General features: G+C 43.6%; 1 pseudogene, besides 3 other annotated features; it reads left to right on the top strand.

The window, feature by feature from the left end:
• Positions 1134-1260: a silencer, noted in NCBI's record as "fragment chr10:69628867-69628993 (GRCh37/hg19 assembly coordinates)". NCBI's record gives its function as "represses an EF-1alpha promoter that drives an FKBP-Casp9 reporter gene in an ReSE screen in HepG2 liver carcinoma cells {active_cell/tissue: HepG2}" and the evidence as "EXISTENCE:reporter gene assay evidence [ECO:0000049][PMID:32094911]".
• Positions 8685-9206: an enhancer, noted in NCBI's record as "H3K27ac-H3K4me1 hESC enhancer chr10:69620921-69621442 (GRCh37/hg19 assembly coordinates)". NCBI's record gives its function as "activates a minimal SCP1, AML or CMV promoter by ChIP-STARR-seq in naive H9 embryonic stem cells {active_cell/tissue: H9 hESC(naive)}" and the evidence as "EXISTENCE:reporter gene assay evidence [ECO:0000049][PMID:30033119]".
• RNU6-523P (RNA, U6 small nuclear 523, pseudogene) lies at positions 11498-11551 on the top strand (annotated as a pseudogene).
• Positions 16544-16838: a silencer, noted in NCBI's record as "tiled region #12986; HepG2 Repressive non-DNase unmatched - State 23:Low". NCBI's record gives its function as "represses a minimal TATA promoter and a strong SV40 promoter by Sharpr-MPRA in HepG2 cells {active_cell/tissue: HepG2}" and the evidence as "EXISTENCE:reporter gene assay evidence [ECO:0000049][PMID:27701403]".

Raw genomic sequence — 20650 nt, 5'->3', positions numbered from 1 at the left:
TCATGATCCACCCACCTCAGCCTTTCCCAAATTGCTGGAATTACAGGCATGAGCCACCGCGTCCGGCCTGGTTTTGTTTTGTTTGTTTGTTTTTTTAAGACAGGGTCTTACTCTGTCACCCAGGCCAGAGTGCAGTGGCGTGACCATAGCTTACTGCTACAGCCTCAACCTCCTGGGCTCAAGCGATCCTCTGGCCTCAGCCTCCTGAATAGCTGTACAAGGAATGTGCCACCATGCCTGACTAATTTTTAAATATTTTGGCCAGGTGCAATAGCTCATACTTATAATCCAGAAATTTGTGAGGCCAGGGCAGGCAAATCGCTTGAGCCCAGGAGTTTGAGAATAGCCTGGGCAACATAGCAAAACCCTGTATCTACAAAAAGAAAACCAAACCAAACCAAACCAAATATTAGCCAGGTGTGGTGGTGTGGGCCTGTAGTCCCAGCTACTGAGGAGGCCGAGGTGGGAGAACGATCTGAACCCAGGAAAGATGGTTGAGGCTGCAGTGAGGTGTAATCATGCCACTGCACTCCAGCCTGGGTGACAGAGTGAGACCCTGTTTCAATAATAATAATAATGATAATAATAATTTTTATATTTGTAGGGACAGGGTTTCGCTTTGTCACCCAGGCTGGTCTCAAACTCCTGGGCTCAACCAGTCCTCCTGCCTTGGCCTCCAAAAGTGCTGGGATTATAGGCGTGAGCCATCATGCCTAGCCCACTAATTGATTTTCGAATGTTGAGTTAGCCTTGCATTTCCAAAATAACTCCCATCAGATTCAATTTGATAATATTTTGTGGAAGATTGTTGTATCTATGATCATCGGTGACATTGATCTGTAGTTTTAATTTCTTATATCTTTCTCTTGTTTTGGTATCAGAGTAACACAGACTAAAAAGTATAAGGAGTTGGAAAGTGTTTCCTTCTCTTCTGTTTTCTGGTATTATTTCTTCCTTAAATGTTTGATAGACTGGAGTTGTCTACCTTGGATAATTTTTTAACTGCAGATACAAGATAGCTTGTATCCTTCAAGAAATTGATCCAGCCAGGCTCAGGGGCTCATGCCTGTAATCCCAGCACTTTGGGAGGCGGAGGTGGGTGGATCATCTGAGGTCAGGAGTTAGAGACCAGCCTGACCAACATGGAGAAACCCCATCTCTACTAAAAATACAAAAATTAGCTGGGTGTGGTGGCCCATATCTGTAATCCCAGCTACTCAGGAGGCTGAGGCAGGAGAATTGCTTGAACCCGGGAGGCGGAGGTTGTAGTGAGCCGAGATCGCACCGCTGCACTCCAACCTGGGCAACAGAGTGAGACTCCATCTCAAAAAAAAAAAAAAAAAAAGATAGGCTTATTCTATCTTGGCCGGTAACAGAAATCTTGAAAAGTCTTTTACTGATCACATATCATACTTCTCTACTATAAAAAGATATCTTTAAATGGAAATTTAATTAAAAAATGTTTTTCCTGAGTGTTAAAAATATTTCTTCTGGATTGAGCTATCATCACCATTATTATTATTATACAACTTGCCAAAATAACATTAATATAATATTCATAATTACTAAGAAAATAAAATTTTATTGGAAGTACGTTTCTTAATGAGATGAATTGGACTTTACTTTTTCAAGGCCAGGCATGGTGGCTCACGCCTGTAATCCCAGCAATTTGGGAAGCCGAGGCCAGTAGACCACCTGAGGTGAGGAGTTTGAGACCAGGCTGGCCAACATGGTGAAACCCTGTCTCTACTGAAAGTACAAAATTAGCTGGGCATGGTGGCGGGCACCTGTAATCCCAGCTACTCGGGAGGCTGACACAGGAGAATCTCTTGAACCTGGGAGAAGAAGGTTGCAGTGAGCTGAGATCGTGCCATTGCACTCCAGCCTGGGCGACAAGAGCAAAACTCCATCTCAAAATAATAATAATAATAATAATAATAAAATAAATAAATAATTTTTTAAAATTAATTTAAGTGTGTGTAAATGAATATTAGTCATTACTAGAATGAGACAGGCTCAGCATCAATCAGCTGTGAAAAACCTTGTTTCACATATATAAAGTGGAGGGAATTTTGCTACAACTATGTCACTCAATTCTTCAAACTTTCCAGTTATATGCCAAAAATCACATAATTTTCTGTCTTCAAAAATTGTCTTTAATGACCTATTAGCTGACAATTTGATTAGTTTCTCCTTTGGCTTTTGGAAAGCAAATAACTGGAAACTACCTTACTTTCAAAAGGATTTTTACTCAGTCATTAGAGTCATTCATTTTCTCAGTTTGTGAGAAGTTTGGCAAGACTTACCAACCATTAGCTGTACCTAATTTTCTTCTATTAGAGGCACCTTGTTTAAGGAAGTTTGGGGGATATTAAATATTGTTAAATTCTATACAACACAAAGTTTTTGATAAAATTATTTTATCTTATCAAGTACCTTGAATATATTTTTCTCAAAACCTTGAAATTCCAGATGTAGCTCAATGTATACAAAAATGTTGTCAAATAGAAACATAATGAGTCATGTATGTTAATTTTTTTTTTTTTTTTTTGAGACGGAGTCTCGCTGGATGCCCAGGCTGGAGTACAGTGGCAAGATCTCAGCTCACTGCAACCTCCACCTCCTGGGTTCAAGCGATTCTCCTGTCTCAGCCTCCCAAGTAGCTGGGACTATAGGTGCATGCTACCACACCTGGCTAATTTTTGTATTTTTAGTAGAAACAGGGTTTCACCGTGTTGGCCAGGCTGGTCTCCTGACTGCAGGTGATCCACCTGCCTCGGCTTCCCAAAGTGCTGGGATTTACAGGCATGAGCCCCCGAATTCGGCCAGATTAAATCGACTTTGGTGTAACATAAATTAATCTGTTTTGTATTGCAAATGATAAAACATAATCTTAAATATAAGACCCTTATTATGCTGAGGCGAGCATACTGCTTGAAGACAGGAGTTTGAGACCAGTCTGGGCAACATGGCGAAACCCTGTCTGTACTAAAAATATAAAAATCAGCTGGGCATGGTGGTGCACGACTGTAGTCCCACCTACCCGGGAGGCTGTGGCAGGAGAATCACTTGAACCCAGGAGGCAGAGGTTGCAGTGAGCCAAGATTGAGCCACTGCACTCCAGCCTGGGCGACAGAGCAAGACTGTGTCTTAAAAAAAAAAAAAGATGTGGCATATATATAAGCAAATGTGCATATGTACATATTGATCCCTGGTATTTGATTTTTAGGAACAGTTGAATAAAAACCATAAAATAATTCTATTAATTTAAAATGAATCCTAATATTATGCCATTAATTTTTTAGATAACACCACACATTTTTCCTATGTATTTAGCAAAAAAGAGAAAGTCATATAATGCTAAAATATATATATTATATATATATAATATATATTTAGACAGAGTCTTACTTTGTCACCCAGGCTAGAATGCAGTGGTGTGATCTGGGCTCACTGCAACCTCTGCCTCCCAGGTTCAAATGATTCTCCTGCCTCAGCCTCTTGAGTAGCTGGGATTACAGGCACGCACTACCACACATGGCTAATTTTTGTATTTTTAGTAAAGATGGGGTTTCACCATGTTGGCCAGGCTGGTCTCAAACTCCTGACCTCAGGTGATCCACACACCTTGGCCTCCCAAAGTGTTGGGATTACAGGTGTGAGCCACTGTGCCCGGCCTGAAAATTAATCAGTTACTCCAGCTGCTGGAATATGATTTTACTTTTTGGCCATAGAAACCATAAAATATCAAACATTTCAAAAATGGAGATACGATGGGGTGGTAGGCAGAATTCTAAGATGGCCCCTGTCTCAAGATTCTTGCCCCTTTGGTGTGTATGCCCCGTATGATCCCCTCTCCTTGAGCGTGGGCAGGGCCTGTGAACGTGATGGGATAGCCGATCCTTTGATTAGGTTATATTATACAAGACTGTTTCAGCAGATGAGAGAATATCCAGCTGGTTATAAAGTAAACTGCAATGTTGTGAGGGTGGCTGTGAGAGGGCCATGAGGCAAAGAGCTGCAAGGGCTTCTGGGGGTTGAGAGCAGATTGCTGACAGCCAGTAAGAAAGCTGGGACCTCAGGCCTACAACTGAGAGAACTGAATTCTGTTGACGACCACTAAGTTTGGAAAAGGACCCCATCCCGAGCCTCAAATGAAATCAGACCCCCAGACTACGCCTTGATTGCAGCCTGTGAGAACTGAGTAGAGAATTCAGTTAAATCCTGCTGGGACTTCTGGAAACTTAGATAATAAAGGTGTGTTGTTTTGAGCTGCTAAATTCATGATTCATAGTAATTTTTAACGTAATATAAAAAATGAATACAGATGGCCTATAGTAAGGAACTAAGTATTATTGATATGATTTAATACAACATGCTCTAGATGGATACAGTGGCTCACACCTGTAATCCCAGCACATTTGGAGGCTGAGATAGGAGGACTGCTTGAGGCCAGGAGTTTGAGGCTACAGGGAGCTATGATAGCTCCACTGCATTCCGGCCTGGGTGACACAGCAAGACCCTATCTCAATACAATAAAATAAATAAGATAAAATAAAATAAAATAAAAATGTTCTAACTACTGAATTGAATAATCCACATGCACTCTAAAAGAAATTATGAAATTATGAGTGGGCCATGGTGGCATGAGCCTGTATTCCCAGCTACTCAGGAGGGAGGGTCACTTGAGGTCAGGAGTTTGGGGTTGCAGTGTATTATGCTTGCTCCTGTGAGTAGTCACTGCAGTCTAGCCTGGGCAATGCAAATGTTATCAAATGGAACTAGAGTCTGCTTGCCCTATCTATACAGTTTTGAAGCGGAGAAAGGAAGGTGTTTATTTGTGGGGCAGCAGCAAAGAGGATCAGGCAGCTAACACTTAAGTCCCAACCTCCCAGATGGCTTGCAGGTAAAGACTTTTTTTTTTTTTTTTGAGACAGGGTCTTGCTCTGTTGCCCAGGCTGGAGTGCAGTGGCTCCATCATGGCTCACTGCAGCCTTAAACTCCTGGGCTCAAGTGATCCTCACACCTCAGCCTCCCAAGTAGCTGGGACTACAGGCGCGAGCCACCATGCCTGTAGATTTTTGTAGAGATAGGGTTTCACCATGTTACACAGGCTGGTCTCAAACTCCTAAACTCAAACCACCCACCTGCCTGGGTCTCCTACAGTGCTGCAATTATAGGCATGAGCCATTGCACCTGGCCTGCAGGTACAGATTTTTAAAGGCAGGGGTGAATTCCAGGAAAGCAGAAGTTAAAGGCAAAATCATAAACCAGTAGATGGAGGTTATGCATTGGTTTGGCCTAAAAAGGTGGGATATCTTGAAGTGGGGGAGGAGGGCGCTTCCAGGTCATAGGTAGATTCCAAGACTTTTTCTCCTATGTTAGCTCTCGCTTGTGGGTGTGACTTCCTCCAGTCCCCTCAGGAAGAAATTTGGAACAAATTTGGTCAGAGTTCAATCTTCAGTTCTCCTTTGTCTGAGGTCTTTGTGCCAGAGGATCCGTTTGGTGGGGATCTGGATTTCTGAAAAACAACTCAGACACGTATGTTCAGATGTTTTCTTTAGTTTCTATAGGGGAACCAAACATCCTGTGATTTTTAACTTCCTTGTTTTTTTCTTTTTTTTTCTAAGACAGAGTTTCGTTCTTATCGCCCAGGCTGGAGTGCAGTGGCATGATCTGAGCTCACTGCAACCTCTGCCTCCTAGATTCAAGCGATTCTCCTGCCTCAGCCTCCTGAGTAGCTGGGATTACAGGCATGCGCCACCATGCTTGGCTAAGTTTTTTGGAATTTTTAGTAGAGATGGGGTTTCTCCATGTTGGTCAGGCTGATCTTGAACTCCTGACCTCAAGTGATCCGCCAGCCTCAGCCTCCCAAAGTGCTGGGATTACAGGCGCGAGCCACCGTGCCAGGCCTTAACTTCCTTTACTATGGCTTTAAGCTATCTTCTTGATTATGAAGTTGCTCCTTTACTTCTCAAGGCTAATTAGGTGCCTGGAATTTCCCTTGAAGGAACTCAAGGTTTTCCTTTATTTTTGTGCTTCAGGGGCCCGCAGGCGCCTTTGCCCCTAAGAAAGGTGTCCCTACTCTGTCTCAAGATCACCACCGCTTCCACAGTCCACATTAATTTCAGAACATCCCAACAAGACCAATATATCTCCTTTATAAATCAGTGATTCACCCTAAACAGAAATACATTTAAGTCTGGGAAAGGCAGGAAGCTCTAAGGAGGATTCATGGTATCTTGATTAACATTAAAGGGATTGTTTCCAGTTGTCCATTGGTTTGGCATCTTAGAAGTTCTCACACTTGGGACTTTGTCACACTGCAGTCATATTCAGGATGGAGGTTGGGAATGACTTTTTTTTGTAAAGTGGGATGAGTGCTGCTACGGCGGGGAAATAGGAAGGATAGCCTGAGACATGCTTTAGGGAGGGTATGCAAGGAAGTTGAAAGTGTGGAAATAGAGTTTCTTAAAATTCTACACATCTAGGCCGGGCATGGTGGCTCATGCCTGTAATCCCAGCACTTTGGGAGGCCAAGGCAGGTGGATCACAAGGTCAGGAGATCGAGACAGCCTGGCCAACATAGTGAAACCCCGTCTCTACTAAAAATACAAAAAATTAGCTGGGTGTGGTGATGGGCACCTGTAATCCCACTACTCGGGAGGCTGAGGCAGGAGAATTGCTTGAACCTGGCAGGTGAAGGTTGCAGTGAGCTGAGATTGCGCCACTGCACGACAGCCTGGGCGACAGCGCGAGACTCCGTCTCAAAAAAAAAAAAAAAAATTCTGCACATCTGTGTATCCCCTAGAAAGTCTTCCTGTTCTCCAGTTTGAAGACTTTGACCCTGAAATATGTGTTCCTCCCAGTCAACGACTTTATCTTATTATCTTTACTCCCTTCCTATTCTCCCTTCCCTTAGCACCAGGCTAAGTAGACATTGGCCTGGTCAGTAGACATTGGCCTCCCCCTTGGGACCAAGGAGACTCTGCCAGAAATAGGGTCCCCTGACTAGACAGGGCAGGATAACTGCAGTCAAATTCTTGCTTCCTAATCTCCATTACGTTGACTTCCTGTAGGCCTTTTACCACCTCATTACTTCAGAAAGGCAGATTACCATGTGAAATGAACCATTTCCTCTAATTACTCTTAAATTCAACATAGATTTGTTGAACCCTGGGTAAAAGCTCTGTGTTTCTTTGGAGTGTGTATAGTGGGAGGTAAGGGAGATAGACCAGCTAGGGAAATAAATTCATCTATAGAAAACTCAGACGTACAACTATTTCATTTGGGCATCACCTGTGCTCCTGAAGATCCCACATCAGTTCAAACCTTACATTTTTCAAGACTAATTTGGACAAAGGACTGTGGTGAAACCATTTCTGTTTTGCAGCTAAAGCAGCAACAATATTAGCAATTAAATTAGCTGCCCGGCTTTGAAATAATGTAATTTTGATAATTTTTTACTTTGGGAAATTTGCATTATTTCCAAATTTACACATTGAAAGAATATTTATTAATACTCTTACATCACAGAATTTTACCATCTTATAATTCACATTTTCAGTGTGTCTGCACTGTCCAAGGAAGAACAGTACTGTAACTGAATTAAATGTTTTGAGGAGGGCCCCTTATTCTGTAAATTAAACATCTGGGGTCGCCAATGCTGGCAGAGTGTAGGGCACTTGGTGGGTGGGCAGCACATGAGTTCTGCGTTGAACTCACTCTCAGGGTACATAGTACATATGGTGGAAATCACACGGTTTCAGAAAATCATGAATAAGTCAAAGGAGACTTTTTTTGGGGGGGGTGCTGTGTCAAACATTAATATATGTTTAAAATTAAAACAAACACAAACAAAAAAACAGGATGGTAGGAAGCAGCTTTGTTCTGCCTGAGGCTAGAATGTAATGGCTCAGTACTGCCATCAAATTGGGATTTTCACTTCTCCTACTCTCCAGTCAAGCCTTCAGTGCAAATGGAGGGGGCGGGGATTGGGGGTGGGGAGGGTAAGGAGGTGTTTGTTCTTCCCACATGCATTCTTTCCCTCTTAGACCAAAGGGATATGGGAGATGCAAAACCTTAACTAAGAGAGCTGGAAGAAGGTCCATCTGAAAACACACTCAAAAGCAAACCCACGGCACTGCCAAGGGAAAAGGGTACTGAGCTGCAGGAGGACTGTATCCAGAGTGGCTGATCTCCTCTAGACCACAAGGTCAGGGGGAGGAGGGTGGTTTGCTTCTAGGTCAGCCCTCAGGCCCTTGTGTGACCCAGGGATTGGGAAGATACCAAAATCTAAATCTCAATGTAGGTCTCAAAGTTTATTTTAAATAATGCAATAGAAGACAATGACAGCAAAAAGACTCAGTGAATCTTTGAAAGGGATCATTGTAAAGACACAAGAATGGAACCCAGGTGGAACTCAGCTGGCGGTGGTTTCCAACCTTTACTTGCTATTAAAATCCTCTGGGGAGCTCTTAAAATCCCAATGCTAAGGTTGGATTTCAGACGAACTACAACAGAATCTGTAGGGGTGGGACCCAGGTATGAATATCTTTAAAACTCCTCAGCTTATTCTCATGTGCAGTGAAGGCTGCTTTTGGAGTGAGCTGGGAGCCCACCTCTTACCTTCCAGGCAAAGGCTCATTGCATTTTAGTTAGCATGTTCTGTTTATAAGTCAAGCTGATTTAGTCTGCCATAAATACTCAAGGGTAGACAACGATATTAGGGCATACTTGATATTTGGGGTATATATTCCACAGGAAGTATGAAGAAGGGTTTTTGTTTGTTTGTTTGTTTTGAGACAGTCTTGCTCTGTGGCCCAGGCCGGAGTGCAGTAGCGCAATCTTGGCTCACTGCAACCTCTGCCACCTGGGTTCTCATGCCTCAGCCTCCTGAGTAACTGGGATTACAAGCGCCTGCCACCACGCCGTGTCTGGCGAAGAAGGTATTTTTTTTTTATTAGTTGGCTTCTTCCCTTTCCTTTTTTTCTTTCTTTTTTTCTTTTCTTTTCTTTCTTTTCTTTTTTTTTGAGAAGGAGTCTTGCTCTGTCGCCCAGGCTGGAGTGCAGTGGCACAATCTCGGTTTACTGCAACCTCTGCCTCCTGGGTTCAAAGCGATTCTCCTGCCTCAGCCTCCTGAGTAGCTGGGATTACAGGCGCCTGCCAACGCGCCCGGCCAATTTTTGTATTTTTAGTAGAGACGGGGTTTCACTATGTAGGTCAATCTGGTTTTGAACTCCTGACCTCAAATGATCCACCTGCCTCGGCTTCCCAAAAGTGCTGGGATTACAGGCATGAGCCACCGCACCCGACCTCCTTTGTTCTTACAAAGCACAGTAGCTTTAAGTGAACTAAGTGCTACTCTGAGGCCTGAGAGATTCTGATTTAATCTCTCTAGGCCTCAAGTCTCACTCTGTTGCCCAAACTGGAGTGCAGTGGCATGATCATTGTTCATTGCGGCCTCCACCTCCTGGGCTCAAGCAATCCTCCCACCCCAGCCTCTGGAGTAGCAGGGACTACAGGTGTGTGCCACCATGCCTGGCTAATTTTTAAATATTTTGTAGAGACTGAGTCTCACTGTGTTTTCCAGGTTTATCTTGGACTCCTAGCTGCAAACAGTCCTCCTACCTAGGCTTCTCAAAGTGTTGGGATTACAGGTGTGAGTCACCACACCCGGCCCCACATTTCTTTATTTAACTTCTTCCTCCTACTTTTTTCTTATAGAATACAGCAGTTTTAAATGAGTTGGTAAGCATTTCTCCAAGCAATTCAAAGAACTTGATTTGATTTCATTCTTCCGTAGTAGATGTGTAGGTAGAAGTCAGTTTACATTTGGTAAACAAAGCTCAAAGCTGAGAAACATCAGTATTACACAGATAACCCTTCTGTGGCAAGGTCAATATTTTGAGTGTTGTGCTTCCTAGCCTGATGTTTTGCCCACCAGATTTGACAGCTCAGTTATAGCAATTAAGGAAACTGCTTAGTGTTATCTCATCTTATCTTCACAGTTCTTTTTTTTTTTTTTTCTTTTTTTTGAGACGGAGTCTCACTCTGTCCCCTAGGCTGGAGTGCAGTGGCACAATCTTGGCTCTCTGCAAGCTCCGCCTCCTGGGTTCAAGCCATTCTCCTGCCTCAGCCTCCCAAGTAGCTGGGACTACAGGCACCCGCCACCACACCCTGCTAATTTTTTGTATTTTTTTAGTAGAGACGGGGTTTCACCATGTTAGCCAGGATGGTCTCAACCTCCTGACCTTGTGATCTGCCCACCTCGGCCTCCCAAAGTGCTGGGATTACAGGCGTGAGCCACCGCGCCCAGCCTCATCTTCACAGTTCTAAAGGTCTTTCTTTGCCTGTTTCAAAAAAAAAAATGTGGTGGAAAGAACACAAATGTCCATTAACTGATGTATGGATTTAAAAAAATGGCATAGCCATACAATGGAATATTATTTGGCCATAAAAAAGAAAGAAGTAAGGTTGGCGCAGTCTTCACACCTGTAGTCCCAGCACTTTGGGAGGCTGAGGCAGGCGGATCAACTGAGATCAGGAGATCGAGACCAGCCTGACCAACATGGATAAACCCTGTCTCTACTAAAAATACAAAATTAGTCGGGCATAGTAGTGCATGCCTGTAATCCCAGCTACTCGGGAGGCTGAGGCAGGAGAATCGCTTGAACCCGGGAGGTGGAGATTGTGGTAAGCTGAGATCGCCCCATTGCACACCAGCCTGGGCAACAAGAGGGAAACTCCGTCTTAAAAAAAATACAAAAAAAAAAAAAACACAAAAAAACAATGAAGTGGCTAGGCGCCATGGCTCACACCTATAATCCCAGCCCTTTGGGAGGCTGAGGCAAGAGACGAATGCTTGAGGCAAGAGTTTGAGACCAGCCTGGGCAACATAGGGAGACCCTGCCTCTACAAAAAATTTAATAATTTTAAAATTAGGATGTGGTGGCATGCCCCTGTGGTCCCAGCTACTTGGGAGGCTGAGGCAGGAGGATCGATTGAGCTCAGGAGGTCAAGGCTGCAGTGAGCCATGATGGTGCCACTGCACTCCAGCCTGGGTGACAGAGCAAGACCCTGTCTCAACAAAGAAAGAAAGAAATAAAGTACTCATACATATTACAACATGAATGAACCTTTGAGACATTATGCTAACAAACTAGTCACAAAAGACCACATGTTATATGATTCCATTTATATGCAATGTTAGAAAGGGCAAATCAATAGAGACAAAAAGTAGATTAGTGTTTGCTTAGGGTGGGGGATAATAGGGAGACACAGGAGTGATAGCTAAAGTATATGGGGTTCTTTTTGAAGTAATGCAAATGTTCTAAAATTGATTGTGGTGATGGTTGTGAGTATACGAAAAGCCACTGAATTGTACACTTTGGGTGAATTGTACGGTATGTTAATGACATGTCAATAAATCAATTTTTAAACTATGAAAAGATATTCAACTTCATAAGAGAAATGAACATTAAAACAACAGTGAGCAGTGCTTGCTTCAGCAGCACATATGCTAAAATTGGAATGATACAGAGAAAATTAGTGATATTAAACATGTATGTAAAAGAAAACCCAACAGTGACCAACCATTTTTCACTCATCAGAGTGGCAAACATTTAAAAGTCTGAAATATTTATCCTGGGCAAGAGTGTGGGAAAGTTGGTGCTCTTGTGCACCATTGGTGGGAGTTATAAATTGTGGCAGCTCTCTTGGAGGGAAGTTTGCTAAGATCTTTTTTTTTTTTTTATAAAACCATTTTTTTTTGATAAAACGTTTATTTTTTTTATTTTTATTTTTTTTTGAGATGGAGTCTTGCTCTGTTGCCCAGGCTAGAGTGCAATGGCGTGATCTCGGCTAAATGCAATCTCCACCTCCCGGGTTCAAGAGATTCTCCTGCCTCAGCCTCCCGAGTAGCTGGGATTACAGGTGACCACCACCACGCCTGGCTAATTTTTTGTATTTTTAGTAGAGATGGGGTTTCACCATGTTGGCCAGGCTGGTCTTGAACTCCTAACCTCCTCATCTACCTGCCTCAGCTTCCCAAAGTGCGGGGATTACAGGTGTGAGCCACTGGGCCTGGCCGCTAAGATATTTTATGATTCAACATACATGTACGTTTTGATTTAGCCACTCCACTTCTAGGAATTTATTGTACCATATATTTATTAAGCATGAAAATGATTACTGCAACATTGTTTGCGATAACAAAAACTGAAACAACCAAAAGTCTATCAACACAGAATTGAGTAAAATAAATTATAAATCCATTTATAAAATTTACAAATAAATACCACTATGCTGTTAAAAGAATTAAGGTGCAGAACAGTTTGTACAAAAAGGGAAGAAAATGAGAATAGGAATATATATGAGCCGGGCATAGTGGCTCATGCCTGTAATCTCTGCACTTTGGGAGGCAGAGGCAGGGGGATCACAAGGTCAGGAGTTTGAGACCAGCCTGGTCAACATTGTGAAACTCCGTCTCTACTAAAAATACAAAAAATTATCTGAGCATGGTGGCAGGCGCCTGTAATCCCAGCTACTCAAGAGGCTGAGGCAAGGGAATCGCTTGAACCTGGGAGGCGGGGGTTGCAGTGAGCCGAGATCGTGCCACTGCCCTCCGGCCTGAGTGACAAGAGGGAAACTCCATCTCATAAAAAAAAAAAAAAAAAAGAATATATATGGCTGGGCGCAGTGGCTCACACCTGTAATCCTGGCACTTTGGGATGCCGAGGCGGGCAGATCATGAGGTCAGGAGTTCGAGACCAGCTTGGCCAATATGGTGAAACCCCGTCTCTACTAAAAATACAAAAATTAGCCAGGCATGGTGGTGGGTACCTGTAATCCCAACTACTCGGGAGGCTGAGGCAGAAGAATCTCTTGAACCAGGGAGGTGAAGGTTGCAGTGAGCCGAGATCATGCCACTGCACTCCAGCCTGGGTGACAGAGTGAGATGCCATCTCAAAAAAAAAAAAAAAAAAAGAATATGTATGTATGGCTGGGTGCAGTGGCTCATGCCTGTAATCCCAGCACTTTGGGAGGCCAAGGTGGGCAGATCATGAGGTCAGGAGTTCGAGACCAGCCTGGCCAACATGGTGAAACCCTTTCTCTACTAAAAATACAAAAAAAATTAGCCAGGCGTGGTGTTGCGCACCTGTAATCCCAGCTACTCAGGAGGCTGAGGCAGGAGAATCGCCTGAACCCTGGAGGCAGAGGTTGCAGTGAGCTGAGATCACACCATTACACTCCAGCCTGGGCAACAGGGCGAGACTTCGTCTCAAAAACAAAAAACAAAAACCAAAAGAATATATATGTATGTATTTGCACAAAGGATATGCAATAAACTAATGGGAACGGTTACCTGGTTGTGTGAGAACTAGACAGATGAGAGATAGAAGTGGATGTGAGAGTTTTCACTGAATACCTTTTCAGATTGTTTTTTGAGCCATGTGAATGTGTAACCCAAAGAAAATCAAATTTAAAACATTAAGGATATGACTGAAATAAAGCTTATCCACATATAGTAAAATATAACTTGTATAAGATTAGGTGAAAAATACACGTTGCAGAATAGTATAGAGAGCATTCTTTCATTCATTTCTTTCAATTAATAGATGCTTTTGAGTTCTTAATTTGCATTCTAGACACTTGGGATATGGAAGTAAACAAAGCAGCCAGGCTCCTGCTCTCATGGAGGTCACATTTTAGCAGTGAATAAGTAAGCAAGCACTTAAATGAACAAGGCAATCTCAAACATAGTGATGGAGAGTGACTTAGATTGGGCAATAGTTACTTGATGGGTGTCACTACAGGCCTCTGTGAGGGAGTGACATAGGAGCTGACATCTGAGTGAGGGAACCTGGGAAAAGAAAGTGGTCCAGGACCCAGCGCGGTGGCTCATGCCTGTAATCCCAGCACTTTGGGAGGCCAAGGTGGGTGGATTGCTTGAGCTCAGGAGTTCAAGACAAGTCTGGGCAACATGGTGAAACCCCATCTCTACAAAAAATACAAAATTAGCTGGGCGTGGTGACATGCGCCTATAGTCCCAGATACCAGGGAGGCTGAGGTGGGAAGATCCCTTAAGCTCAGGAGGCAGAGGTTGCAGTGAGTGCAGCAGGGCCACAGTAGAGTGAGACCCTTTCTCAAAAAGAAAAAAAAGAAAAATGAAAAAGAACGACAAGAAAGTGTCCAGGAAGATAATGTAGTGAGGGCAAGGGTCCTGAGGCTGGAACAAGTTTGACAAGTTTGAAGATCTGAGTGGTAGAAGATGAAGTTAGAGTGGTAGTCAGGGGACACATCATGGGTTTAAATTAAAGATTAAACATGAAAATGTCTGGAAAGATACACAAAAATCTTATTAATAGTGACAATTTTGTGCGTGCGAATTGGAGATGAGAATCAGTAGGACTCTTTAATTTCCTATATTCTACTAGAGTTTGAATTTTTAAAGCATTTCAATATGCATAAAACAAATATGCTTCAAAGTAAAAAACATTAATACAATATTGAGCAGCAATCAGTGAAGGTAAACACTGTACCTAGCAGTTTGATAATTCCTTTGGTTCTAGTTCCCCTAGTGGTGATGATGAGGTAGTGCTGGTGATTATGTCCCAGCACAAACATCCTGGAGTGAGAGCTAAAATATCTTTAATACAACTCTGAAACACTCGGCCGGGCACGGTGGCTCACGCCTGTAATCCCAGCACTCTAGGAGGCCGAGGCGGGTGGATCACCTGAGGTTGGGAGTTCGAGACCAGCCTGACCAACTGACCAACATGAAGAAACCCCGTGTCTACTAAAAATACAAAATTAGCTGCGCGTGGTGGTGCATGCCTGTAGTCCCAGCTACTTGGGAGGCTGAGGCAGGAGAACCGCTTGAACCCGGAAGGTGGAGGTTGCCGTGAACTGAGATCGCGCCACTGCACTCCAGCCTAGGAAACAAGACCGAAACTCCGTCTCAAAAAAAAAGAACTCTGAAACACTCAACAGAAGTTTGAATTCTTGAAATTGTGTAATCCTTGCCAAATGATGGTTGGGAAAAATCATAAAATTGCTATTACAATCACAGCAGTCATCAACTGTATATCATGAAGCAGGGGCCAGCAAAGTCTTTAGATTTTAAAATTAAAACATCAGGAAAACTCTCCACTGGGATTGTCTTGAAATGGTATGGCTTAAATGCCCAGGTCCTGGTCCCCATCTCTTCTGAGCCTTTGCTCGAGCCTATCCTGCCCTGTCTTCTCTCCACTTTGGCAAAAACGCCTTTGCCTCCCTGCTTGGTCAGCTACATAGCTTCTCCATTAACTCACTTTGCCCCCCACATTAACTCGCCCTTTAGCACTCCCTGATGAGGATAATAATAGCTGATATTTATGAAGCAGTTATTGGGTACCAGATACCATAGTAATTCATGCTATCTTGTTCAATCCTCAAACGAACCCTGTGAGGGATGTGCTATTTTCATCCCCCCTGTACAGATGAAGAGGGGCAATCTGAGGCACAGGACCATTCAGTGGGATCCCACAGCTGGTAAGTGGTAGCTGATCAAGAAGAAAGGAAAAAGCCACCCTTTCCTCCCTGCTTGCTCAGCTACCACTTACTAGCTGTGGGATCCCACCTAATGGCCCTGAATCCCTGTCTGACTGTAGACCACATGCATTTAAGCAGCAAGCTGTATTTGAATGTGCTGTTTCTATTTGGATACTGAATATATATTTTAATAAGTGTAAATCATGGGTCCTCATAAACCCAAATGTCTATAGGGGCCAGAACGTGAGTCCAGAGAACTTTATATATATATATGTGTGTGTGTGTGTGTGTGTGTGTGTGTGTGTGTGTGTGTGTATATGTATATATGTGTATATATGTATATATGTATATATATGTGTATATATGTATATATATGTGTATATGTGTATATATGTATATATGTGTATATATGTATATATGTGTGTATATATATTTTATGTATGTGTGTGTGTATATATATGTATTATATATGTGTGTGTGTGTGTGTGTGTGTGTATATATATATATATATATATATATTTTTTTTTTTTTGAGTCAGGGTTTCATTCTGCTACCCAGGCTGGAGTGCAGTGGTGAGATCATGGCTCACTGCAGCCTCGACTTCTTGGGCTCAAGTGATCCTCCCACCTCAGCCTCTTGAGTAGCTGGGACTACATATGTGTGCAACTATGCCTGGCTAATTTTTTTTTTTGAGATGGAGTCTCGCTCTGTTGGTCTGCCTCGTGGGTTCACGCCATTCTCCTGCCTCAGCCTCCCGAGTAGCTGGGACTACAGGCGCCCGCCACCACGCCCGGCTAATTTTTTGTATTTTTAGTAGAGATGGGGTTTCACTGTGTTAGGCAGGATGGTCTCGATCTCCTGACCTCGTGATCCACCCGCCTCGGCCTCCCAAAGTGCTGGGATTGCAGGCGTAAGCCACCGTGCCCGGCCACATTGGATTCTTTTCTATATTTTGAGTTTTTACTATGTGAATGTATTTTTCAAAAAAACATTTTAATGATCATAGAAAACTACTTCCAGAAGTTGAGGCCAATAACTTACATCTGTGGTCTGATAGGGTGTGCTATAACATCCTCACTGGAAGGAGGACACTCCATGTTCTTATCACAGCAAAAACATATGCCACTCACATATGTTTGGAATCGTTTCAAAGCTACATAACTCTTGCTGAAGTTAAATAGATACGTGACAATGCCAGAGTGACAGTGCTCTCCTGCAGACCAATTAAAAGGGAGTCTCAGGGCATGGGTATAGGTTGTTTTGTTTTGTTTTGTTGAGACAGAGTCTCACAGTGTCACCCAGGCTGGAGTGCAGTGGTGCAATCACAGCTCACTGCAGCCTTCACCTCCTAGGCTCAAGCAATCCTCCCATTGCTCCTGAGTAGCTGGGCCTACAGATGCATGCCACCAGGCTAATTTTTTTAAGAAATTTTTTTGTAGAGACAGGGTCTCATTATGTTGCTCAGGCTGGGTCTCAAACCCCTGGGCTCAAGAGATCCTCCCATCTCTGCCTCCCAAAATGCTGGGATTACAGACGTGGGCCACTGTACCCAGTCAGCATGGTTTTTTTGTTTTTGTTTTTGTTTTTTTTTTGGCTCCCCTCAATGATTCTAATGTGCAGCAAGGTGTCACGTAGACCAAGGATGTTAATCTATAGGAAATATTAATGGAATAAAAACAAGAACTTGTAATACATACTTTCTATGCCCTAGGCCTTGTCCTCTGTGGTAAATTCAGAGAATCCATTTGATTCAGTGATAGAGTCACAAATGCCATACGATTCTGTGATAGCCCAAGCTTGCCAAATGAATGTCTGCCAAAAGGAAGTGAAATAAATATAGAATAATATTCATGAGGAGATTGATGGCTCAGCAAAAGTTCCTTGAGAACATGGTATATGCCTAGTGCTGCAGGAGGTGTAAAAGGAATCTATTTTAGTGGTTCTTCCCATAAGGAACTTAGATTGCAATTAAAGAGATAAGACGGGGGCCGGGCGCCATGGCTCACGCCTGTACTAGGGCCATCTAGTCCCTCCCCCTGAAGGCAACTACTTTATGGGTTGCTTGTGAATCCTTCCAGAGACATTATTATCGTAAGTTAAATAGTTCTTTTTTATTTTTTGGCTTCAGATAGGAATTTTCTTTTTTTTCTTTTTTTTTTTTTGTTTTGAGACGGAGTCTCGCTCTGTCACCCAGGCTGGAGTGCAGTGGTGTGATCTTGGCTCACTGCAAGCTCCGCCTCCTGGGTTCACGCCATTCTCCTGCCTCAGCCTCCCGAGTAGCTGGGACTACAGGTGCCCACCACCACGCCCAGCTAATTTTTTGTATGTTTAGTAGAGATGGGGTTTCACCATGTTAGCCAGGATGGTCTCGATCTCCTGACCTCGTGATCCGCCCGCCTTGGCCTCCCAAAGTGCTGGGATTACAGGCGTGAGCCACCGTGCCCAGCCCCAGATAGGAATTTTCTTTAATCACTCTCTTTTTTGACAGTTTCCTTAATATTTCCTTGATAGTAACGGAGCTAAGGTTAAAGGGAAAGACTGATTCATTGTGTTAGAGTGTAACAGGATCTGGAGGTCATCCTGTCCTTTTTTAATCCAAGTGTGGTCCTTGGATCAACATGGAGCTCACCTGGGTGCCTGCTAGAAAAGAAGAGTCTCAGACCTCACCCAGGCATCCTGAAGCAGAAGTTGCATCTTAACCAGACCTCCAGGTGATTTGTGTGGACCTTTAAGTTTGAGAATCATTGTTTTTGTCCAATCTTAACAAATCAAGGAAGCATGGTTCTGCAAGGAGCCAGTGCAGAACTGATACTCTAAATCAGGTCTTCTGACACCTCGTCTAGTGCATTTCTTTCTTTCCTTTATTTCCCTTTCCTTCCTTCCTTTCCTCCCCACCCCCCTTCTTCCTTTTTTTGAGACAGGGTCTTCCTCTGTCCCCCAGACTGGTGTGCATTGGTGGTGGAATCATAGCTCACTGCAGCCTCGAACTCTAGGGTCCAAGAGACCCTCTTGTGTCATCCTCCTGAGTAGTTAGGACTACAGGTACATGCCATCATGTCTGGCTAATTTATTGTATTTTATTTTTAGTAGAGATAACATCGCACTTTGTTGCCCAGTTTGGTCTTGAACTCCTGGCTTCATGCGATCCTCCTGCCTCCCAAAGTGTTGGGATTACAAGCATTTTCTAATATGCCACAATTCTGGCCAGATAATTTGATGTAACATTTTAAACATTTTCTTCACCAGGGACTTTGGAGTCAGACACAGCAGAGTTCAAGTCCCAGCTTTGTCACTAGCACATAATAAGAGCTCACTAATGGTGTTAAATAAAATTTATAGGCCATTGGTTTGAACTGAGCTCCTGCACTAGGCCCAATAGACAAAACCAAAATGAAGTTACTCATGCCAAACTACCATGTCACCAAAACAAAACTAAGTTGCTTATTCCACCTTCCAAGAAATCAGGAGAGAAACCCACACAGGCCAGTTTCAGCTGGCATAATAAGAAAGTCGGCTGTGCTTTAATTTTACAAGGAAAGTAACTTTGAAACGACCAATCTGCTTTTTGTTATCTCTTTCTGCTTTCTTCAGCCCCTTTTTGGCTTATAAAGCCAGCCTCCTGCCCAGATCCCAGAACACTCAATTTATTTTACAGAATGAGGTGTTATCTGATTTATTGCAAATAAAAGCCAATTAAGATCTTTAAATTTGTTGTAATTTTATCTGATGAGTGGTTATTATACGTCTATTTTTTTTTTTTTGAGAGAGTTTCGCTCTTGTTGCCCAGGCTGGAGTGCAGTGGTGCGAGCTTGGCTCACTGCAACCTCCGCCTCTCCGGTTCAAGTGATTCTCCTGCCTCAGTCTCCGGAGTAGCTGGAATTACAGGTGCCCACCATCACGCCCAGCTAATCTTTGTATTTTTAGTGGAGACGGGGTTTCACTATGTTGGTGAGGCTGGTCTTGAAACTCCTGACCTCAAATGATCCACATGCCTTGGCCTCCCAAAGTGCTGGAATTACAGGCGTGAGCCATCGTGCCCGGCCTATTATACTTCTTATTGTTACTTAAAAACAAACAAACAAACAAACTACTTTTAGAGCAGTTTAGTTTCACAGCAAAATTGAGGGGAAAGTACAGAGTTCACATACCCCATCTCCCTTCCTCCCAGAATAACCTATCAACATCCTGCACTTACTATTCTTAAAAATGGCATTAATAGCATTCATCATCGCACCTGATTATAACTTGAAAACGCTATTTCTTTTTTCATTTTTTGAGACAGAGTCTTGCTCTGTCGCCCAGGCTGGAGGGCAGTGGTGCGATCCCGGCTCACTGCAAGCTCCGCCTCCCGGGTTCAAGCGATTTTCCTGCCTCAGCCTCCCGAGTAGCTGGGACTACAGGCCCCCGCCACCACGCCCGGCTAATTTTTTGTATTTTCAGTAGAGACGAGGTTTCACCGTGTTAGCCAGGATGGTCTCCATCTCCTGACCTCAGGTGATCCGCCCGCCTCGGCCTCCCAAAGTGCTGGGATTACAGGTGTGAGCCACCGCGCCCGGCCTGAAAACGCTATTTCAACAGCCTTTGGAGAATCATTTACGAATTTCTAGGTATTCATGTATTCTATGTCTGACTCAACAGTAACGCCTTTTGACTCATCCGGTTCTTGGACCAGGACGCTGTCTTGCTCTGTAAGCCAGGGAGAGATTTTATTAGGCTATTTTACAAATGCAGGGTCTGAAACAAAAAGGTTACGGTCCGGGCAGGCTATGTTTTCTTTCTACTGGATCTTAAGCTGGACCGGATCAGTAGATTGAGGAGCAGGCTTTAGAGAGCCCAGTGTCAATCTGGAATCTAAGCCCTTCTATCAGAGCGCAAAACTCGTGTCCAGGACCCCAGCCTTAGCGGGGAGCAGGGGCCCGTGTGTCGGGAAATAAGGACGAATGGTTGCAGGCACAGTTTCTGGAACCTGCGTTTTGTGCCTCCTTTGCTCGTATTTGGAAAAACCGCTGGGGAAAGGCGCCGATTTCATTCTGCAATACAGAACTTTGAAGCGAGGCTGGAAGGAAAAACGAGAGGCGGAAAGGGTCAGGTCAGAGTGCGACTTTCAGGGCCGCGC

Source organism: Homo sapiens, chromosome 10 (genome assembly GCF_000001405.40).
Source record: "Homo sapiens chromosome 10, GRCh38.p14 Primary Assembly".
In the NCBI taxonomy this organism is placed as follows: Eukaryota; Metazoa; Chordata; class Mammalia; order Primates; family Hominidae; genus Homo; species Homo sapiens.
The sequence above is the reverse complement of the archived record's forward strand: the minus strand, read 5'-3'. Positions and strand labels throughout refer to the sequence as shown.